The sequence below is a fragment of the Homo sapiens genome, chromosome 4, assembly GCF_000001405.40.
Source record: "Homo sapiens chromosome 4, GRCh38.p14 Primary Assembly".
NCBI lineage: Eukaryota > Metazoa > Chordata > Mammalia > Primates > Hominidae > Homo > Homo sapiens.
The window spans coordinates 86,141,583-86,164,685 of NC_000004.12; the positions used below are offsets into that span (position 1 = coordinate 86,141,583).

General features: G+C 36.2%; 1 protein-coding gene and 1 long non-coding RNA gene across 15 annotated transcripts in view; one reads left to right on the top strand and one right to left on the bottom strand.

The window, feature by feature from the left end:
- The window catches only part of MAPK10 (mitogen-activated protein kinase 10), a 583,670-nt gene that overhangs the window by 131,178 nt on the left and 429,389 nt on the right, over window positions 1-23,103 (bottom strand). For all 14 annotated transcript variants that reach the window (XM_047415964.1, NM_002753.6, NM_138982.4 and 11 more), the window contains one exon: window positions 17,716-17,885. In XM_047415964.1, coding sequence (XP_047271920.1) covers window positions 17,716-17,885 — 170 coding nt within the window. The remainder of the gene's footprint in view (window positions 1-17,715; window positions 17,886-23,103) is intronic.
- Window positions 1-23,103, top strand: part of MAPK10-AS1 (MAPK10 antisense RNA 1) — a 100,121-nt gene that overhangs the window by 21,777 nt on the left and 55,241 nt on the right. The window lies entirely within an intron of this gene.

The window sequence follows — 23,103 nt, forward strand, 5'->3', positions numbered from 1 at the left end:
CCATTCCTGGGGTAATAATAATATAGGCCTGGATATTTTACAGAGTCTATGGGAGAAAAAGCTCTGTAGAATTTATTGATAGAGAATACACTTTTAAAAATACACATTGAGCAAATGTATAGGCTAAATCTAAAATGTAGCCTATAAGTTTCTTTATGTGCTAAAGGCTAGAATTTTACATTACTAATATGTATGACAGTCCTATCTTAGTCCATTTTGTGTTGCTATAATAGAACACCTGAGACTGGGTAATTGAAAAGAAGTTTATTTAGCTCATGGTTCTGCAGGCTGAGAAGTTCCAGGGCATGGCCCTGGCTTGTGGCAAGGGCTTTTGTGCTGTGTCACAACATGGCAGAGACCATCAAAGGGAAAGTGAACATGTGCAAAGAGGAGGAAAACTGAGGGGCATCCTGGCTTTAAAACGACCCACTTTCTTGGGAACTGATCTATTCCTGCAAGAATTAATCCAATCTCTCAAGAGCAAAAATTCACTCACTACTGTAAGAACTGCACCAAGAAGTTAATGAGGGATCCACCGCCAAACCTAAACACTTCCCACTAGGCCCCACATCCCAACAACCACACACCAGGGATCAAATTTCAACATGAGTTTTGGTGGGAAAAACAAAACATATTCAAACCACAGCAAGTACCTACCTCAGAGAGGTATGCTAATGTTTATGCATCGGTAGGGTTTGCTAAACGAAGAAAACTGGAGCTGCGTTAATGGACAAGCCTTGGAAGTTAAAGAATGAATAAAGAGAGACTGCCAGAGAGACACATGTTTATATTTCAAAGCAGGTGAAACCCAGAGCTATCCATTTACATTCTAGAGGATTCATTCATCATTCATTCATTCATTCAATGAAGGTTTTTTTTTCCAGTATCTCTTATGTTCAAGACACTGTGATAGGTCTTGGGAAAACAGGGTGAGGGAGACAAACAGGGTGATTGCATCATTCTAGCAAGACACTAGTTATTTCATTTGTCATATAAATTATGTTAGATTGTTTTATTTCTTGAGAAGCTATTGGCTCTAATCCATATAATGCAGCTGGCTGGGACACAATTTAGAAGGATCAAGAAGTAAAACCCACACTGATTTGAAGCAAAGCCCATACATCAAAGTCAGATGAACAAGGAGAGGGACTGGATATCAGTTACCAGATCCAGAAATGGAAGATTTGCTATTTCAGAGTCTAATGGTCTCCCAAGATCCATTCCCTCCCTCCTCATGGTTATAAGAACTTCCCTAGTTTTACACAGACACATGGCATTCAGCTAACTATATATTTCCAGCTTTCCTTACAGCTAGATTAGGTTCAAGACAATGGGTGAGGGCAGAAGAGAAATATTCAACTTCTAGGTCATATCTGTATTAGTCCATTCTCATGCTGCTATGAGGAAATACCTGATACTGGGTAATTTATAAAGGAAAGAGGTTTAATTGACTCGCAGTTCCACATTGTTGGGGAGGTCTCAGGAAACTTACAATCATGGCAGAAGGCAAAGGAGAAGCAGGCACATTCTTCATAGGGTGGCAGGACGGAGTGAGTGCAAGCAGAAGAAATGCCAGATGCTTGTAAAACCACCAGATCTCCTGAGACTTAATCACTATCACAAGAACAGCACGGGGGAAAATGTCCCCATGATCCAATGACCTCCATCTGGTCCCACCCTTGACATGTGGGGATTATGGGGATTATAATTCAAGATGAGATTTTGGGTGGAGACACAGCTAAACCATATCAATATCCTTATAGAAAGACAGCTTGCTCTCCACTTGCTTTTTTTCTCTTTCCATAAACTGGAATGTGACCCTAGTGGCTTTGGTCACATGGACAGAACAACACTGTCAGGATTCCTGTGTTTCTGTGAAACAGAATTGTCCTATTCCCTGGAACTATGCAGGAACTCAGACTTCAGTGGAAGAGAGAAGTGTTCAAGTCACTGTACTATGTGTCTCTTTGTTAGAATATTTCAGAGTATATTGTAATATAGATACCCACAACCAGATTCTATTTACTAGACCAAAACTTGGAAAGAGAGTGAGGACCATGTCTTCTTTTGCTCATGACAGTAGCTCAAGCATACAACACAGTATCTGGAACATATTAAGTGCTTCATTAAAATGTATTAAATGGAATGGAATATAATGAAATAGATGTGATTCCCAACCTCAAGGAAATCATTGCATATGAGGAAATACACATGAAATAAAGAATGACTTTCTTTTACAACATCTTATTAATACACATTCTTTCAATTCTCCAGACATATATTTTATGAGAAAAAAAATCTCACATGGGCAAAAGCTAAAATTCCTCTGGCATGCTTTTTGATAACCAAGTAGAATAGTTATCAGATCCTAAGCTTATTAGAGAATAAGGGTGAAAACAGCATAGTTTCAATTAATCATACTAAATTGCTAAATATTTTTTGAATGCATACAAGAGGAGTTAGCAGTATTCTTGTGAGAAGGTGCCAAATTACTGGTATCTTTTTTGGGGGGTGTGTTTAAGGGGGTAATTTTGATTTCTGCACACTTAACACATATGTGTATATAGCCACAGCACATGCACTTATAAATTGATTTAAGTAAAACATTAAAAGATCTTGTGTTCCAGTTAAGTAGGGGTTGTTAAAAACAATTGTTTTTATAATACAGTTATTTTAAAGTATTTTTAAATAGAAATTTTACAAGATTATTTGAATCCAGAAATATTACTTTATAAGACTGGAATTTTACATTATTAATGTAAATAATAATACCTACATCATAGAGATATTTTAATATTTCTGCATTGTCAGGGCTCTTTGAGCAGATAAAGCAAGAATCTGGTTAAAGGACAAGTCTTGGAAGTTAAAGAGTATAGAAGAACCTCTAGAGAAAAAATTGTTTTCATTTCAAAGTGGGTGAATCCCAGAGCATACATTTACATTCCAAATGATTGTAAAATAGGGACTTTCTCTTTCTCCTGCCAGAGAATACTTACTTTAGGAAAATTAGATCTCTCTCCCTCTCTTTCCTTCTCTCTCTCTTCTTAGCAAGGTGGCAGCTGTATAGCAGGCCTTATATAAACTCTGAGATTCATAATTTCTTATTGATAATGCAAAAATCCCTTTGCATGTGTAGGATAACATCTGTCTTTTATAATATTGCACTGAATGGAGTGAAGGAGACATGGGTAACTGATATAATTATTGCCTTGAGTAATAATACTCTGCCACTGATCCAGAAACTCCATGTTTGCTTTCAGGACAAAAATAAAGGAATACAAATGTTAAAAACTTACAGTGAGCTGCTAAATAAGTACAACTCTATGAACACAATTGGATAAATTTGCACACTATGGACACAGTAGCTAAGTCTAAGTTTCTATTCCCTACCCGGTAATATGTTTACCAAAAAAAACCCAAAAAAACAAAAAAGATATCAATGATAAAGCACTTCTACCAATTAGTTTTATCCTCCTTAAAATACAACGAAGCAGAAAAGTGGCAATTTTACAAAAATTACTCTGGGTCCAGTGATCTTTTCTAGTATTTTTTTCTACTTTTCCTTTCAATTGCTTTTTCCTATGTAGCACAAGGGTCAAAAGATTTCTTGGTCCATTCAAATTTCTATCTCTAGCCGGGCGTGGTGGCGCGCGCCTGTAGTCCCAGCTACACGGGAGGCTGAGGCAGGAGAATGGCGTGAACCCGGGAGGCGGAGCTTGCAGTGAGCCGAGATCGCGCCACTGCACTCCAGCCTGGGCTACAGAGCGAGACACCGTCTCAAAAAAAAAAAAAAAAAAAAAAAATTTCTATCTCTATTTGATGATTTTAGAAAATTAGTGATGAAATATTATACAGCATACCAAACATGTGTTATTGTAAGCAAAAATAGTATTTCTCAATGTTTCTGTTTCACAAAGAATTACTGCTTCTTTTCAAAGCTACTTCTATATGTACCATCCTGCTTCCTCCGAAATTGTTCTCTAACAATTATTTTTGGTTTCTTGAGTCTCTCCATTTCTCTCTGGGAATCTCTCAGCTGCCTGCTTGATGTTCCTACATCTCTCTGTCTGTGTGTTCTCTCTTCCTCTTCCTCATTGTGTATCTGTCATCTATTTCTCTCTTTCTTGCTATTTCTGTGTATCTTTCTTCTTCTGTCTCTCTGTCTCATTCTCCTCTTTTACTCTGTCTCAGAGCCTCTCTCTCTTTCTGTTTTTCTTTCCACATGCCTTACCTGTAACATCCAGCATTTCCTCTCTAATAGAGTAAACACACTCTCCTGCCATTAAAAAAAAATGTAGACCTTCTTTACCTTTGAGGTTGCAAGCTATTAACACCCAAGAGCTCTTCTTTGCACCACCAATTTCACAGAAAAGGAGTCCGTCTAAGAACTGGGAAAATACAGTTGAAAAACTAAGAAGTAAACCTTGAAGAGGACAGTACCAAAGTGCCAAATCAAATAAGATGGAGACCAGAGACTACTTGCTGCATTTAGCATTTTGGTTGGTTTACTGGTAATTTAGCAAGAGCAGTTTCAACAGAGTAGAGTGCATAGAAATGGATTCCAGTGAGCTGAGAGTGAATAACAGATGTAGAAAGGAAAATCAGAACTTTAACTCCAATATTTGTTAAGTGCCTACTCTGCAAGGAACTATGTTAGAGTTAGAAATTCAACTGAAGGCAAGCCTGACAGTCTTCCTTATGGAGCTTACAGTCTAGTGGGAAATGGACAATGTAAGGAGACAATGTAAAAATAATGTGATGATGCTAATAATCCTGTGAAAATACAAGGTTATGTAGAAGCTGGTCAGAGGGGTACTGGCACTGGATTTAGGAGGATGATAGACATTTTAGAGAGGGCAAAGACTGCAAAATCCTAGTCTTTTTCCTTTTCTTGGGCACACAGCTCAACTAGATGACATTTCCAGCCTCCTGTGCAGTTAGGTTATAGCCATTTAACAGAGTTCTAGCAGGTGGAATGTGAGCAAAAGGGAAACGCACCACTTCCAGGCCTGGCCCACAGAAGTAGCTCCATGCTTTTGGCTGTTTGGAGCCCTTACACGTTACAAGATGAATATGCCAGAGCTTTCATCAGTCTCTCTCCTCAGCTCACTGAACAGAACCAAAATCTTTCCCCTATCTACTTCCACCTCCACCTGATAAATGAGAAGAACACTTCTATTATGTTTGAGCTTCTATCATTTTCTGTTGGTCAATTTGTCACAGCAGCCAAAATTATCCTAACCAATGTATATGAACTGAAGGATGTGAAGAAACTAGCCCAAGAAAAGTGATGGCATTTATGTATTACATCAATCTCTTGATTAGATGGCAGGATCTTTGGTCCTTTCTATTCAACTTTATATCACTATGACATAGCCCAGTGTCTAATATGAGTCAGTAACTCAATAAAAACCCACTGAAGGAAAGTGCATTTATGAGCGATCTTAGTATGGGATTAAATTTTTTATTTTGTTTTGATTAATATATTTTTCTTTTTTTCTTCTTCTTCTTATTTTTTTTTTGAGACAGTGTCTCGCTCTGTCAGCCAGGCTGGAGTGCAGTAGCATGATCATGGCTCACTGCAACCTCCGCCTCCTGGGTACAAGGGATTCTCCCACCTCAGCCGCAGGAGTCGCTGACACCACAGGCACATGCCACCATGCCTGGCTAATTTTTGTTTTTGTTGGTAGAGACGGGGTTTTGCCATGTTGCTCAGGCTGGTCTCAAACTCCTCCAGTCTTAAGCGATCTGCCTGCCTCAGCCTCCCAAATGTCTTTTTCCTTTATTTCAGTTTACAAACAATGAATCTAGACAACCACCATCATTTGCATTTTTTTCATTTCTTCATTCTCCTTTAAATCTAGTAAAGCTCCTCATGTGCCAGGCACTAATAAATATACCTCCAATACTGAGTTTAGCTATATCAATGACATTCATGTCTTATTTCCCAAACTTATGATACTAATGTTATACATTCTGTAAGGATACCATAAATATTAACTTATAGTGACTATTTATCTCTCTTACATTGACACCAAAATATGAAAGAATACTTTTAGTAAATTTGTATCAAGTCCTCAGATTGTACTATTTAATGATTCTTTTAAAATTTGCCATATATCTGTGATATTTATTATCAAATCAGATATAAATTGGTATAGTATTTAATAAATGATTTGAAAAATCAATTTTCATATTACTAACTCATTCTTCAGATTAGTCAAAGGCATAATTTAAGAGAAAGTTAGACTTATTCTAATAATTGAATTGATGTTTGCATACAACAGTATCTAATTCCTACAGGTGATGCTAGCCTCCGTTATTAGTACATTTTATGATTTGATGTATTACTCCTGAAATTAGTGGGTCATACTATTTATCTGATACATACTATACACACATTCAAACATACACATTACATTATTGATAAATTTAATAGTTAACATTATGCAACAGGCACTTTTTGAAATCTTCAGACTATAAGGATGAGAAAGTCAGAATCCTTGTCCCAAGGAGATCATCATCTAGCAGCAGACACAGATTTTAATAGCAATAAAAATATAAAGAGTTCCAAAAGAGATGTAAGTATAACATGTCATAATAATACAGATGAGAGGGCAATTACTTTTGCTGAGCAGTAGAAAAGGTGACTTGAGACTTCGCAGAAAAGGTGACCCCATAACTGAAATGTGAAAATGAGAGCAATTTCCCAGGGATTCCCAGGGAAAATGGCAAGCATGTCAAGAGCATTCAGGTGAAAGAAAATAGCTTCATATAAATACCCGAAGCATAAAAGTGGTCAGCACATTTGAGAACAATGACTAGTATGCCCTTCCAAAATATTTGAATTTTATTGTGTAAGCAACTTTACCCATAAGCAGTATGGAAGACGGACTAGGAGAAGAAGAGATAAGGAGGGGGAAAGGGATATCAGTTAACTATCCATGATGATAGCCCAGCGGGGTATGATGAAGACCTGGAAAAGGCAGTTGAAATGGAAGGAAGGGATATTTCAGAAATAGAAACAATTAGACTCAATCTGGAAAGAGAAAGGAAGAAACTATGACTCCGTAATTTTTAACTGAGGCAACTGAAGGAATAGCAATCCTCAAATAAGAAATACATCGTGAAGGGCAAGTTTGAGTAGATGATCATAAAATTATATTGGGCATGCTGAATTTGAGATATCTGTGGAGGAATCTGAAGGAGATAAGAGTACAGAAATAATTCATGGACCAACGGCTTAGAAGTAAAGTACAGCCAAAAGACAGAAGACATCAGGCATTGAACTGTGAAAAACGCAAGCACAAAGGAGGAAGAACACTTTTAAAATACAAATATTTGAAGGGTAGAGACAGATGATCAATAAAAGGTTAGATAATGATTGACCATAGAGGTAGGAGGGCACCAGGAAACAGTTGGCTTCAACCTAGTCTAATAGCATTAACATTCAACCACCAGCCAATAATATTCATGACATATGTGCTAGATTCATTCCATTGTTCCCAAATTTCTCCCACTTTGATCCAGTTCTGGCCTGGTTCTTGGCTTTTGCCTTCCTTCTCTCATTTAGAATCTCATTCTCATTAGGCTTGAAAATTAGTACCTGTCTTTCTGACTCCTTTTGCTCTGGCCACCAATTCAAATCTTGGCCTCAGTGGCTTTGGATTGGATTTTATTTGTTTATTTATTTATTTATTTTTTGATGGAGTTTCATTCTTCCACCCAGGCTGGAGTGAAGTGCCGCAATCTCGGCTCACTGCAGCCTCCGCCCCCCAGGTTCAAGCGATTCTCCCGCCTCAGCCCCACAAGTAGCTGGGATTATAGGCACCCACCACCACGCCTGGCTAATTTTTGTATTTTTTAGTAGAAACAGGTTTCGCCATGATAGCCAGGCTGGTCTTGAACACCCGACCTCAGGTGATACACCCACCTCGGCCTGCCAAAGTGCTAGCATTACAGGCACGAGTCACCGCACCCAACCTGGATTGGATTATTTTACTGGCATTCTGAACATTGAACTAGAAAAGACAGTTCCCTAATCAAACCAACCTCTGAGAACCTGGCCATAAGCCAGGCCAGCTACAATAATGAAAACTAACAGGCACTGACTGCTAAGTAAATCCAGGCACTGTATTAACTAATTTAGTTTGCTTTAACAGCAATTCTGTGCATACATAGTTATTTCTTCCAGCCCCATCTTCAGATAAAGTTCCTGAGATCCCACACAGGTAAGAGGGAGCCAGGATCTTAGAGTCTGCACTCTAACCACGGCCTTTCACAGCCCTCAGTATGTTGGCCAGTCCATCCCATTCCAAACGAGCCCCAGATTTTTAAAATTCTTAGCTTAAAATTCAAAAGAAGATAGAATTCAAGAAGAATTGGATATTTAACCTTTCCAGATATTACAGAAAAGTAAAAAAAAACGGGAGCCAAAGAATTCATAATTGCAAAGATGTGGAACCAACGTAAGTGCCCACTGACTGATGGGTAGATAAAGAAAATGTGGTATATACACCATGGAATACCACTCAGCCATTAAAAGGAATGAAATGTCTTTTGCAGCAACTTCAATGGGGCTGAAGGCCATTATTCTAAGTGAAGTAACATAGGAATGTTAAACCAAATATTGTATGTTCTTACTCAAAAGTGGAAGCTAAGCTGTGAGTACACAAAGGCATACAGCGTGATACAATGGACTTCAGAGACTCAGGAGAAAAAGGGTAAGAGGGGGTCAAGGGATAAAAAACTACACATTAGGTAACATGTACACCACTTGGGTGATGGGTGCACTAAAATCTCAGAATTCACCTCTATATAATTCATCCATATAACAAAAAAATCTCACTTGTACTTCACAAGCCATTGAAATAAAAATAATAATAATAAAATGAGAGCTGAAAAAGAAGCCAATGGATTAGCCACTTAGGAGGTCAATGGTTGCCTCCCCAGAGCATCCTCCTCCACAGGGGTAATGTGATAGAATTGGAACTGCTTGGCCAGGCGCGGTGGCTCACGCCTGTAATCTCAGCACTTTGGGAGGCCGAGACGGGCAGATCACGAGGTCAGGAGATCGAGACCATCCTGGCTAACACGGTGAAACCCCGTCTCTACTAAAAACACAAAAAAATTAGCAGGGCGTGGCAGTGGGCTCCTGTAGTCCCAGCTACTCAGTAGGCTGAGGCAGGAGAATGGCAAGAACCAGGGAGGTGGAGCTTGCAGTGAGCCAAGATCGCACTACTGCACTCCAGCCTGGGCGACAGAGTGAGACTCCGTCTCAAAAAAAAGAATTGGAACTGCTTGTAAAATGAGAACTAAAAAGGTATGTGGAGGCATTAACTTCAGACTATCAAGAAGTGTGATGATGAGGGAAGGAGAGAAAGAGGGGTTGTTTGAGGGGTAGGCACATTCTAAATAACTTTTTTTGTAGATGAGAATTTGGTGAGAGGTCGTCCATAGGCAGGGGAGAAGAAGCATCAGTCAATGCAAGACAGACAAAAACTAATAGGTCCCAACGGGTGGAGATGGAATCAAGAACACAGGTGGGTGGCCAGCCTGACGGTGTCCCTCATGAAGGAACTAACTGGGCAGGGAAGACTGGAGATGACAAAGAGTTAGGAGATTGAAGGGGAAATTGAGAGTTTACATGCCTGAGTCCATCTGTTTTCTCAGGGAAGTAGGAGGTAAGACCTTCTGTAAAGAATGTTGCTGGTGAAGTGGAATTGGGAGCTTTCATGAAAGTTGTAAAAGGATTGTAACAGCCGCCTTGGGAAATGGCTAGGGAGCTGACGAGACATATATGCAAAATGGTTGCTGAGCAGGAACAAGGGCCCAGCTGAGGATGAAGCTCATAAACTTATAATGGAGGAAATCAGTGTGATTATATCATTCCTCCAGCTGGGCTCAGCCTTCCAGCAGGAGCAGAGAAAACAGCCACTTGGGCTGATCCGGATGAGAGTTTGGAAAACAAAGCTTCAGAGGACAAGGAGGTGAGAAAATAAAGAGCATCTGAGAGTGTCTGAAATCACTCTTCATGGTTCCTGGCTAGATGGTGAAAAAGTTAATCCAGCAGGAGTGTGACAGGTTCAGAGAACAGGGATGCCTTGAAAGAGAGATGTCCATAAAAAGATGTAGGGAGGGAAAAGGGATGAGAGAAGCAGGGTCACTGAAGAGAAGGGAGAATGTTAACATGACAACAATTTGGCTTATAATTTTCCTCTGCTCCCTGATTATTTGCATTTTCTTCAGGTGTCTTAAATCATCATGCCAGTGAATTATTTAACATCCCAGATGTATTAGATCTTCTGTAAACTAAGTATTTTGCAACTTATATTTTTGCTAGTTAAACTGAGTTTCTGTCATGGTCACTTCAAATCTAAAGTTCATTTAATATTTGCTGCCAGCCCACCTGGTGTGGGTGTGAGAAAAAGCAGCTCCTCGAGGCGGAGGTGACCACGTATCAGAGTCCACGGGTAGAGCCCAGGCTGGAGTTCCGCCCGTACAAGTCCCTCATCTCAGTCCTCTTGTGCAGGGCTCACACTTCCCATCCATATTCTGATGTCCTTGGTGAACCCAAAGGAAAACTTTTAAAAATATATTTGGGGTTGCATCTCCCTGGATTGAGAGTGAAATCATGATTTTATTAATGGACATATTAAAATCTGTGAAAAATGTTTTTAATGATAAAAAATAAAGAAGAATAGAAATGAAGAAGAGCACAGCACAAGAACCCTAAGGTACATGTATTTAAATAAATGTCAAATGAAGTGACTGAGTACCTTCCCTGATGATAATTTAGACTCTCCTGTCATACACAGAAGCTTAAAATGCAATGGCTCAATGCTGGATTCATAACTTTGGACATGTAAAGTGAAACTTACTTGACAAGGTCAAATATTTTAAATAAATTTAAATTCCATCACAGGAGAGGCAGAGAGCGCACAAAGGGAATGATAGGGCTGTCACTCCATCTTCCAAACTAAAAGATGTCTTCCTTTGTCCTCAGCCCCCACATTCAAATCCATGATTAGCAAAGACAGCTCAGACTCTAGAAACAGAAAGTAATGCTGTAACAGGCCAGAAGCATGACTTAGTAGAGAGAAGGGCCAACTACCTTCCCTCTGAGCTGTATAAAAAGCTCCTCTAAGCCTTGGTATTTTTCGTTACAAAATTTATAACACATACCTACTATCTTTTTTAAAAAAAACAAAGCCAGCTTATCTACAGATGGAATGCACAGGTCTCTTAGAGCAGTAAATGAGAATGCTTCCCAGAATCTGAGGGACAGCCATTGCCACCTGTTATTTAGCATAATTTAATTCAACTGATCAAACTGCCTCCTTTCTGTGAGGAATTTTGGCTTTTCCAAGATGCACTGGATGGTGCTAGATTAACTTGTTAGATATTTATATTTGGGCTGTAGGTTACTTTTTAACATAACCATGGATACATTTTAATCCTAACAATCAGGATTAATCTGAAAAAATAGTATATGGACTATAAACTGACTTTAATTCCACAATGAAAATATTCACTGATGCCCTAAAAGACAAGTTCTAAAAAAAATAAGAACCAGCATCACTTAACTATTTAATCTTTAGGAGGGAAGTTGAAACTGAAAAATAAATAATGTATTTACTAATTATTTCTTCTAATAGGGACATTAGTATTTATATCAACAAATGATTTACAGAAAAGACTCAATCATCTGTAAGTAAATAATTATCTATGGAAATTTAAATGACTATTTTTCAAATCTGCCAAGAAAAGTGCTCCCAGGCTACAAACTCTTGCTGTCAGTTTTTACTACAGGGATGTAAGTTAATTACAAATTAACTGAAGAATGACAGAATTCAGAATAAATGTCCACAAAACATTCCAAAGCCAAAAATAATTTTTAAGATTATGAATTACCAACCCCTTCAGCATTAGTTATCACATCAACAATTAAATATTTATACATAAGGACACACATATAATTTATGGTTGACACATAGAAATGTGGGTATTACATATATGTATAATTGTTTTTTCTGTAAATATACTGCCATCAAACTTCTACACATTGCTTTTCAAAACACCACATTTTCTTCGTAAAGGAAAAAAAATGACATTTACCAGTCTTATTGATCAATTGAGAAATATGGTAAATATGTGTGGCCTGTACTGTGCAAAGAGGCCTAGGAGAACAGCAAAATGTGGAAGAATACAGTGTCTAATTCTGTCCTATTCTGCTGGGCCATCACCACCTTAAACCTGCTACATATATAAAAGACAGTATTTTGAAGCTCAGTGTTCCTTATTTCAAGGAGGTTGCGATTAAGGGTCCAAAATTTTAAAATTAATGGAAAATGCCAGGGATGAAGAATATGCTGATATTACAGATGTACATGAGAGGATAATCATTTCCACTGGTCAGGGGCTAAATGGAAATGTGTGATTAAATCCGTGTCATTTAGCGTAATGGCTCATTAGAAACTCTTAAGAGAAATGTGCCACAAGAGCTTGAGTAATGTTTGCAGAAACAAAATAAAATCATCTGGGGCCCACTGATCAAGTCTGTTTTGTATTATTGAGGAAGAGTGATGCTTTGGAAAACCTCTGGATGATCTTACCCATCTCTCTTCATGTCACCAACCTCATAACCATAAGATGCTCCCATCCATATTCTGTGCTTAAAGATCCTTAGCTGGCCCTGTGAAATTGTGCTGCAGATTTAAAAACTAATGTTTACAACTAACATATTGTAAATAATATTGGTTAACTGAAGCCCTGGATGAAAGATAGGAGAAAAAAAAAGTTCAAATGCTTCTCTGCCAGCCTCCATGATGGAGTATTAGTAAAGTTATTTTATTAAATCCCATGCTCTTAACTGTAATATGTATACAATATACACAGTGTGATGATGAAGCAACTGTTACCATCAGGCATTTTCCTAGGTTACATGTGCTGACCTTTACAATTTTCCATTGTTAAGAAAAAGTATCATAAGCCTTCCTTTCTTGAATCTACTAAAAGTCACGACAATTTCAGATTTATAAAGCAATTTTATGTATCTAGCTTGTTTTGTACTCTCCTGAGTCCTATGAGAAAATCCATTTTACAGATGAGTAAACCTAGATTCTGAAAGACTGAAAGTTAAAAGCTATCACTGATAAACCACAATGGGAAAAAAAATATTTTTTCGGCATAAGTTTATTTGTAACTATAATTACTAAAGATGATAATATAAGGTATCTTAAAGTACTGACAATTGAATCTATAATATTTAAATATGCAAATTTTAACAGAATCCTGAGAACTTCATCAATTTTTCTCGTAATTTTTATCAGCAAGAAATATATATTAAATACCTTTCTGTCATGCACCCTAACATGGCCAACTTTCAATCACTTTTGTTCTGGTGCATATTTACCAACCCTTTAGGGAAGATGTTCCCAACCTTTTCCAATCATTTTGTGGATGGATGTTATTAGTTCAAGGGTGATTAAATCAGAGTGCGGATGGAGTAAATCAAATTCATCATCAAAATGGAAAAAGCTGCTAAACACATCAGAGTAAATAGTGTCTTTTTTTAAATGAAAATGAGCACATTTAAAAGGGAGAACTTTTTTTCAAAGAAGAATATGTGAACACCTGAGTTTCTGCTGAACATGCCTGGCAATTTATATCTTAAATTGTTTATCTGCATAGTCTTGTTACTGTAGACCACTTATTGAAGGACATTCACCAGAAATGATTTTTTCAAATTTTTGTCCAAAACAAAAAGATATATATCCTATCATATATATAATATTTAAAATGACATATATGATACCTAACCAATTAAGATAAACTAACCCACCGGATTAATATGTATGTATATATAATATATAATAATCGTATATTGGTATTACATATTCATTACAGTAGTACCCCCTTGTCTGAGGCAGATACATTCCAAGACCCCCAGTGGATGTCTGAAACTGGATAATAGTGAACTCTATATATACTATGTTTTTTCCTACACATATATGCCTATGATAAAGTGTAATTTATAAATTAAGCACGGTAGGGGATTCACAAGAATAATAAATAGAACAACTGCAATAACATACTGTTCAAATTTCATAAATAGAAGATTCATTCTTTCTGAAGACATTAGCAATCTCAGCATAAGATTTTTGTTCTTTCCTCATTAAGTTGGGAACTTTCACTTTTTAACTTAAAGGAAGCACTTTACTGCATCCAAATTGCCAGCATCACTACTTTTGTATTTTGGAGCCGTTATTAATTAAAATAAGAAAAATTTGAACACAAGCACTGCAATATTGCAACAGTTGCTCTGATAACTGAGACTGCCACTAAGTGACCAACAGGTGTATCATAGACAGCCTGGATATGCTACACAAAGGGATGAGTCACATCCCCAGAAGGATGGGATGAGATAGAGTGAGACAGGGCAAGATTTCAGAATGGTGTACAATTTAAAACTTACAAAGTATTTCTGGAATTTTTCATTTAATATTTTCGTATCCTAGTTGATCATGTGTAACTGAAACCACAGAAAGCTAAACCACAAATACGGGTACGTATACATATACATGGATATATATTCCATTTAAGATAAACTAATCCATTGGATTATTCCCAGGGCATCTTATAACTATGATTATTTCAACTTTAATTAAATGCCATCCTCTAGCTCCAAGTGGAATTTTTTTAAAGGTTGGTTAACATAAAATGTATCATCTTATTTTTAAATACTTAATTTTCAAGGTACAGATATTTTACAATTCTATGATTTTATCTTAGAATTGTATTCGTCTTACAGTTTTCTGTAAATATCCTGCCTAACATCATCTTGCAAAATTGAATTGTGACCACTTACAAGCTGATGGTGTGTAACACCACCAAGACAGAAATAATATGGCTTCACTTCCTTTCATTTAAAACCATACAATCAGCTCTTTTCAGTTAAAGAGCAGACCAGCCCTGGCAAGCTGTCTCTGCTAAACTTAGTTGTTAACTTTTGCCACCACTTTGGCTGTCCATTTGAATCATCTTTAGAGAGAGAAATGAGAAAGTAGAAAATGTTCCTTGGCTTGGCAAGAAACAGCAGGATAGATGTGAGTGAAAACAATGAAACCCCTACTGTTGATTTCTTCCCATGCTTGTTTTTGTTCCGGAGTTGGTAACAGAAAAAACACTAATGAGACCCTCTTCTGATGATTGGAAAAATGTTCTGAATGAGTTGCTCTTCTGGATCCTGACCACTGTTGCTAAAAACTCATCTTGCAGATTATTCTACAATTCCCCACCTACGAGGCTGTAGAGAACTTCTCAGCTCACACAGTGAAGCAGAATAATTCTCATTGTTTCTGCTTCAACAGATAATCTTTTCTTTCCCTCAAAGGCAGAAGGAAAATTTTCATTTTTTTCCAATATTTCACAGTAGCTTTTGTTTAATCATGCTCAACATTGACATTTTTGACCTACCATCAATGGTAAATGAAATATAGTATAGTAATAACTTCTTTTGAAGATATTTTAGTATTACCTTTTCCCCCATGCTGATAAGTAAGAAATAAAACAGTCCAAAGTGGGGGAAAAGATTGTAAAAACCCAATAACAAGTTTAAGGTAACCAGAACAGTAGAAATGAGACTCCATTTCAAACAAGTTAGGAGGATGGAGATTCTATGACATAATAGGTATCCATATGCCAATACTTATGCTTGAAAAGCAGAATTTCTCTTGCATACACATGCAAAATTACATGCGGTGACACATGGACAAAAATGATGATATCTGTTTTGTAATTTTTTCCTCCATGTTGTATTTCTGCTCCAAAGAAAATAAGGCAAAATAAATTAATGATATGTTTCAGTTTGTCTGTCCATCAGAGATCTCAGATATGCCCAGTTTCCAGTTTGCACCAGTCACTATACTCAGGATTGCATGGAACATTCAAGATATTATGTACTCTGACAGTTGTGCACATAGAAAAGGTCTGTGGATTTCAGAAGCATGTCTGGGAATGGATGCATTTGACATAAGAGAGGCAGATGAGCTCACAGTTGACAAAGGCAATATAAAAAATTTTGCAGTATCTATATCTAAGCCAAAGATAACTTCCACCCTATAGAAAGGAGAAATAGAGGCCCAAAATATCCTATAAAACATACTACAAAATTATTAGAAAATGTTCAAATCTTTGTGATAATCTGTTAACTTCCTGAGCAAAATGCTGCTTTGGATCTATTTTTGAGTCATTAAAGGTCTATCAGTTTTCTTTCACTGACAGTACTCAGTTTCACTGCCACAAATCTGTGGCAGGTCTGTTCAAAGGAAAATGAAACTATCCCAATTAATATTTGAGCACCTGGACTGAGAATCTTAGTCAGGAAAACTTTCTCATGTTAATATTCTACAATTTTCCATCAAGAAAGGTAGCCAGAAACTACTCTTTTTCTCCCGCCACTGGTAAATTTAGGAGAGTTACAGCAATTGTCTTAATATTAGAATCTTTACTATACCATGTGCATTAATATTGCTAGCATAGCAAATCACCATAAACTTAGCCATTTAAACACAAACTTTAAAACATTTAAAATATTTTAAATTTTAAACCTCTTTTTTTTTATCACAACTGCAAGGAATTGAAATCTGCCAACAATTCAAATGATCAGGGAAATAGATTCTCTTCCAGCACCTCCGGAAAGGAACCCAGCCTGCCACCATCTTGATCTTAGCCCCACTGGGCTAAAATGAAATCTTGTAGGACTTCTGACCTACAGAACTGTAAGATCAGCAAGAAAGTGGCTAAGTTTATGGTGATTTGCTGTAAATTCATCTCATCCCTTAAAAGTGTTTGTGTTTTTAAATGGACATTATGAATGTAGCAGTAATAAATAAATATATTGTATAAATAAATATCCTTTATAAATAAATACACATATATAAATATACATATTCAGGGTACATGCCCTGAATTTTTACTTATCTGTGTGAGCCATCAGAAAGATTAAAAATGATTATACTAATAAGTTTATATTAAATACATTTGGTTGTGACATTACAAATTAAAACTGTGTAAAAGAAATGCTTATCAATTAACCTGATATCATGAATTTTGCAAGAGTCTTAGGTAAATCAGATCTAGATTTGTCATAATTTTAATTAGCTACTCAAAAATGTCATAAAAGAATTGTTACTAAGCAGCCCAGAATCTTTCCATTTTGGAAACATGAGGCAAACATTTTTAAAATACTACTTTTTCTAAATCGGTAACTCAGTTTCAAACACTGAATTTGAAAAGTTACAGAAACATTTGAAATAGCTTTTATTCCACTCTAGCATATAAGGAGTTTTATTTGCTGTTATCTTAAGACATGTCCCCTCATTTCTTGCTGTGCAACAAATAAAACTCTACAAATACATTAGCAACTGCTAGAAAATCTCTGGTTCTCTTTATTTCTTTATGATTCTTGTGTAATAACTTTTTTTCTCTGACCAAAAAAAAAACATGTCACAAGCCAAGTTGTATATATTGTTAGCAAGTGGATAACAAATTAAACATAATGCTCATAATGTTATTTTTTTTTCTTCAGTAGGATTATTTTTCCCTCCCAAATTATGCTATTTATTTTGGGGATTTTGTTTGTTTGTGTGTTTGTGTCTAGTAGTTGCACACGGTGTGTTCCCTTTAAAAATACAGCAAATCCATTCCGCTTACCAAACTATGCCCTGAGCCCCAGAGCCAATAGGCTTTAGATTCTGGTAGCGCTTGAGAACTGTGAAGGTTGAGTCTCCCACTTCCACACTGTAGAACTGGTTGTCAACTTTGCTTTTGCTCATGTTGTAATGTTTGGCAATATATGACACATCCACTTGTTTATCGAATCCCTGTCAAAAAGAAGAACAGCAAAAACATGAGGCAAGTGAACAGGCAGAATGATAATGAGATGTACAGAAACTTGTTCTTTTAATGATTACTGACACTTAGCCATCTATCATCTAGTTCATGAAGTTCACATAGAAAAAAAATATGTATCAGTCCATGCAAGATTACCTCGAGTAAAAGAGCTTAGGGAAAAAATGCAAAGAAATTGTTTTTTTCATCATTAAAACTATTTATAATAGACTAATCTTAGATTTGATTCACATAATCTTTTCTAAAGTATCTCATAGAGACATTCATTTATAGAATAAACATCTATAGCTACTGAACATGCATTGGTCTCAGAGGTGATATTAGATCCTTCAGGATTCAAGTAAATAAGACAAAGATGATCACTGGTCACCCATTATACCAGTCACATGAGAACAGATAAAAAATTGTATCTACAACCTTTTCTCAGAAAGAACTAAGATACAAACTTATGTAAAGTTTTAATTATTTTAATTGGGTAAATTTGAATTAAACAGTCTTGACTTCATTTGTCCTCATTAATATCACAAATGCTATTGTTCTGAATTAAGCATAGCAAAATTCTTCTTTGAATTAATATTATTCTAAAATACCATATGACACTTTATTTTTTGGAAGCTTAGATTTTAAATATCTTAATTGTTGCATTTTTTATTTTTAAGAGAAGTTCATCTATCAATTATATTTAGTAATTGATGAGTCTGTCTTTAAAATTTTGAACTATAATACATATGTATAATATAAATATCCATTACCTGTGATTATTTATCCACAAATGATCTTATATTGTACTTATGACATAAATAGTAAGAATTCTATAGCTAGAAGGGACCTCACAGAATATCATCTAGCCCATTCCTGTGGCATACACTGGTGGATGCCTTCCCAGCAGTCACCCTTCTTGCTGATTTTGTTCAGGTTTTAAGCACCCACATTTTCTGTGGGTTCCTCCCCAATCCCAGTGACTGAAAATTAAACAATCTATGCCAGTGATTCTCATTAAAGGTGGTTTTGACCCATTTGGGGCATTTAGGAGATTTGTGGGCAGGTTTTAAAATGCCACAATAAGGGGAGAGGTACAGTTTAGATTGATTTGGTTTGTCAAAGAATGCTGGTTGTCCTACAAGAAGTGAGATGTGAGACATTCCCACGCAATGAATAATTTCTCACATACCTCACAACTTGTGAGTGTCCTGCCAAAGCTTTAATTAGTGAAAAATCTGCCTATAATGTTCTGAGTCCAGAATCTAAACCAAAGACTTTTTGTATAATTTTAACATACACTAACTTTTCTGAAAATCGAATTCTGATATAATTTGAAAGATTTAAATCTCCTTGGGCTCTGAACCTCTGGATTGATAATAAAACTATTTTTCCTGGAAAGTTTTGGCATTTCATCTCTAAATAAAAACTTGAAATAGAAGTACTATCTAATTTTCCCCATATTCACTTAGAAAGGGATCCAAGCAGCATCAGTGATGTAAATGAGGAGAATACAATGGAGCCCATGTGAACACAGGTGGCAAAACCTACAAATCCAGTGCTAGGATCTTGAGGCCTCCAGATAAGACTGAGACAGACTTGAAAGTAGAATACGTGTGACAGGCACCAACCTAAGATTGCATCGGATATGGTGGCAGCATTCATTGCAAATGCACTAAGACCTCAAAGAATAGAGTGGACTTATAGGAACTTATGTTGCTTGGACAGGAAACCAAAAATTAAGTGATCTGCAAATGCAATAATAAAAGTTCTGAAATCAAGAAAGCAGTTTGTGGAGCATGAGATAGGGAATTAAACAAGACTATTAAAAATCAGGACATTGCAAGCCTATTCAAGGAGACAACAACAGGATTTAGAATTTAGACAATGGGTGTGGACAGTGGCAGAAAAAAGAACATCAGTCTTTAAACAATCCTTGATTTCAACCACAGTACCAGGAACTGCTCTCCACACCATGGTCCATTTCTACTCTAGACTTTTTGGCATATGAGTAGAACAGCCTGAATAAAGCCCTGCTTTTTTTCCTGGCTAAGAAAGGTTAAAAAGCAACTGGAGCTAGAATATAACATGAATTCATCTGTCAAGTTTAATTTGGGATGAATGAAGTGCCTAACTTGCCATTTGTCATGTTCTGACCCTTCTTTATATCTTTTAATATTCTGTTTCTGACCACACACAAAATCTTTAGCACACACTAGCCTCACCAAACCAAGAAAATATATCTCCCCTTCCCTTACTTATTCCCTTCACTTTGGAAGTGTGGCTTTCTCAACTGTATTGCATGTATAAACTAATCATTGGCAATGAACTTTGTGTTCCAGACTCCTGACTTAATGTTGTATTGTGGCACGGCCCTGTGCCTTTGGACTTCACTGTGGCTTTTCCAGCTATGGTCTCAGTCAATATATCATAGTTGATTCAACTTGTTGTCTCTCCTCTTCCAACATTTCAATGTATATTCAAATAAACCAAAGAAGCTTAACGATTCATGTCACTTATCTCTCAGGTTTACTCTAAGAGCTACCCTATTTAATATTTAGAACTGTTTAACCCAACAAATGCTGATGATATACATATTATTTGCCAAATACTAGGTTTGGCACTCAAAATATAACCAAAAAAAGATAAGGTTCAGTCTAGAATGAAGACAATTAAATAAGAAAGTAGTTAAAGTATGGATAATACATTCTACAGAATTAAAAAAGTGCTGAAAGCAAAAAGAAACTACCAAGCAGAAAAGGGCTCTTTCTATATAATAGAAATAAAATAATATATATTCTGGAATAGAGTATTGCAATGGCAGTATATGTGCCATAGTAAACTATGTGTGTATTCCAGGAGGTAAAGGAAAACAGAGGTTTTTAAAGGAAAAATGAGGATGATTATCTAACTATTTTGAGATAATTATCCTTGGCTACAAGGATCAATAACAAAGGTAATGCCAGTCCAAAGTGGGACAGGAAATTGCTGGGCAGATGTCTTTGCAGAAACATTTTTTGCATAAGGTTGTGATGGTCTTGGCGCAAACTCATGGGTTTTTCAGCCCTTTGTGATAGTTTTTACCAGGTATTTACGCATGTGAACGCTTCTCTTTATGGCCTTCCTCTGTTCTATTTGTCATGGTTTTTTCCTTTCTTTTTTTAACACAAGTGACTCCATTCTGATTTTGACAACTTTCACAGTAGCAACTAACCACCTGCGCTCATTCAATATCATTAATTCAATCAGCTACCATGTATACAGCAACTACTAGAAGCCAAGTTACAGGTATAAAGTTGTAATGTTTGAGGGGAGACTTGATCTGTGTTTTCCCCAACTAAAAATATCCCTGAACCTTCCTTTTCACTGGTTCTCAGATATGAGTGTGCATCTCAACCACCTGGGGATGCACACTGGAGAAACAGGGCTTGATAAAATACAAGTCATTGGCATAACATTCTGGAGATTTGGATTCAAGCATCAGCAATCAACCAATTAAAAATCATCATTACAAGGTTTGTGAATTCACACACACATAAACATATAATTTCCTTTCAAGTTTCTTCTTTATACCTCACTTTGAATTAAACTTCAGGTAAAATTTGGAAGTTAGGGAAGATGTTCATGAAAGCATCTCAAATAATTGGTAAAAGTCTATTTTAATTACTAGTTTAAGCGGTAAGGCATGGACATAATAGCATAGGAAATTTTCTTAGATTGATGTCATAACCAAAAATTTGATAGCAAATATGATGTGTTAAAGAGCTTCCCCCAGATCCCATCTGTGCCCTAAGCTTACAAATCTAAATTGAGTTTTGAAAGGTTCAGAGCATATTTAATAGACTACATTTCATCCTTCAGCTTCTATATAGTATTCCTTGTCATGACTATAAAGTTCAAATATAATTTTTTCTTTATAAAATGTGCCCATGAAAATATTCCATCAAGCACACTACAGAAAAATATTATCAGTGCTAAAAATGACTTTTCTCTAGTTATACATTTTAGTGTTTCCTGAGTTCAAGTCATAGAACAAGACAGCAGATTATTTAAACCTACAAAGAAAAAAAAATTCATGTTGAGAAAGCATGCTTAGCCAATACTTGGTCTACAGCAGAGATTCTGAAGTTTTAACATGGATTAGGACTAGCTAGGGGGCTTATAAAATGCAAAGTTTCTGATTCAGTAATACTAGGATAAGGCCAAGAATCTGTACTTCTAACAAGTTTCACATTTTGAGAATCACTGTTTTAGACAATAGTAGATATAAAAGATGCCACCATTCAAAGAGGAATAATTAAAAGTCAAAAAGTGGAAGCAATGCAGATCGACATGTAAACAAAGGATGTGGAAGTTAAAAATAATGTCATAAAAGACTCTCCTTGGTATCAGCACCTGAGCACTCATCATCAATTCAATTGCTAGCCTATAGCCATAGAATTTTGCAAAGAAAAATGTCCCACATTATTGATCTTCTCCTGCAGGTGTCCAAAGCTTTGATTGCACTTTAATAGCCTATATTTCAGAAGCATTCTCTCCTCATTTTCATTTGTGAATGACTGTCCTATGTTTCTGATAGTCAGTTCCTGAGTGGGAAACATTGAGGTTTAAGAATTTTTGGAGGTTAAACTTTGTTTCTTTTGAATGATATAGCTGAAAACAGCACTGAGCCTGGATCAGTTCTGCACTTAATAGCTGTGAAACCTTGGGCAAACTATTTTATTCTTTCATTTATTATTTATATTCTGTATGGTTCCATAAAGGATTTGTCTAGCTCACGGTAAAAGATAGAGAAACAATAAAACCATTAAATCCAGTTTTAAAAACAAATGTCAAATAAAGCAAGCTAGGAGATGACAGTTTTACCAGAAGACTTAAGTTATGAATATCTATTGCCTTGAGCACAAAACTTAGTGTCACGCTTCTGGAACACCAAAGGAAAAAAAATAATAACAACAACAAAACCACAGTGAGTGGCAGGTTTTGATTTATTAATCTCATAAAATATATAATACCAATTCATAGGAAAGATAAAATTCATCAGCTAAACTTCAGGAAGAACATATTCAATTGTTTCTTTATATAATAAACCTGAAATCAAAAAACAGGCAGTAGATAAGATATTTTTAGTGAGTCACAGAAATATGTGTCATATGACTTGTATGATATTAACTCTCAACTCAATAACACAAGGGAAGAAAGAAAGTTGAA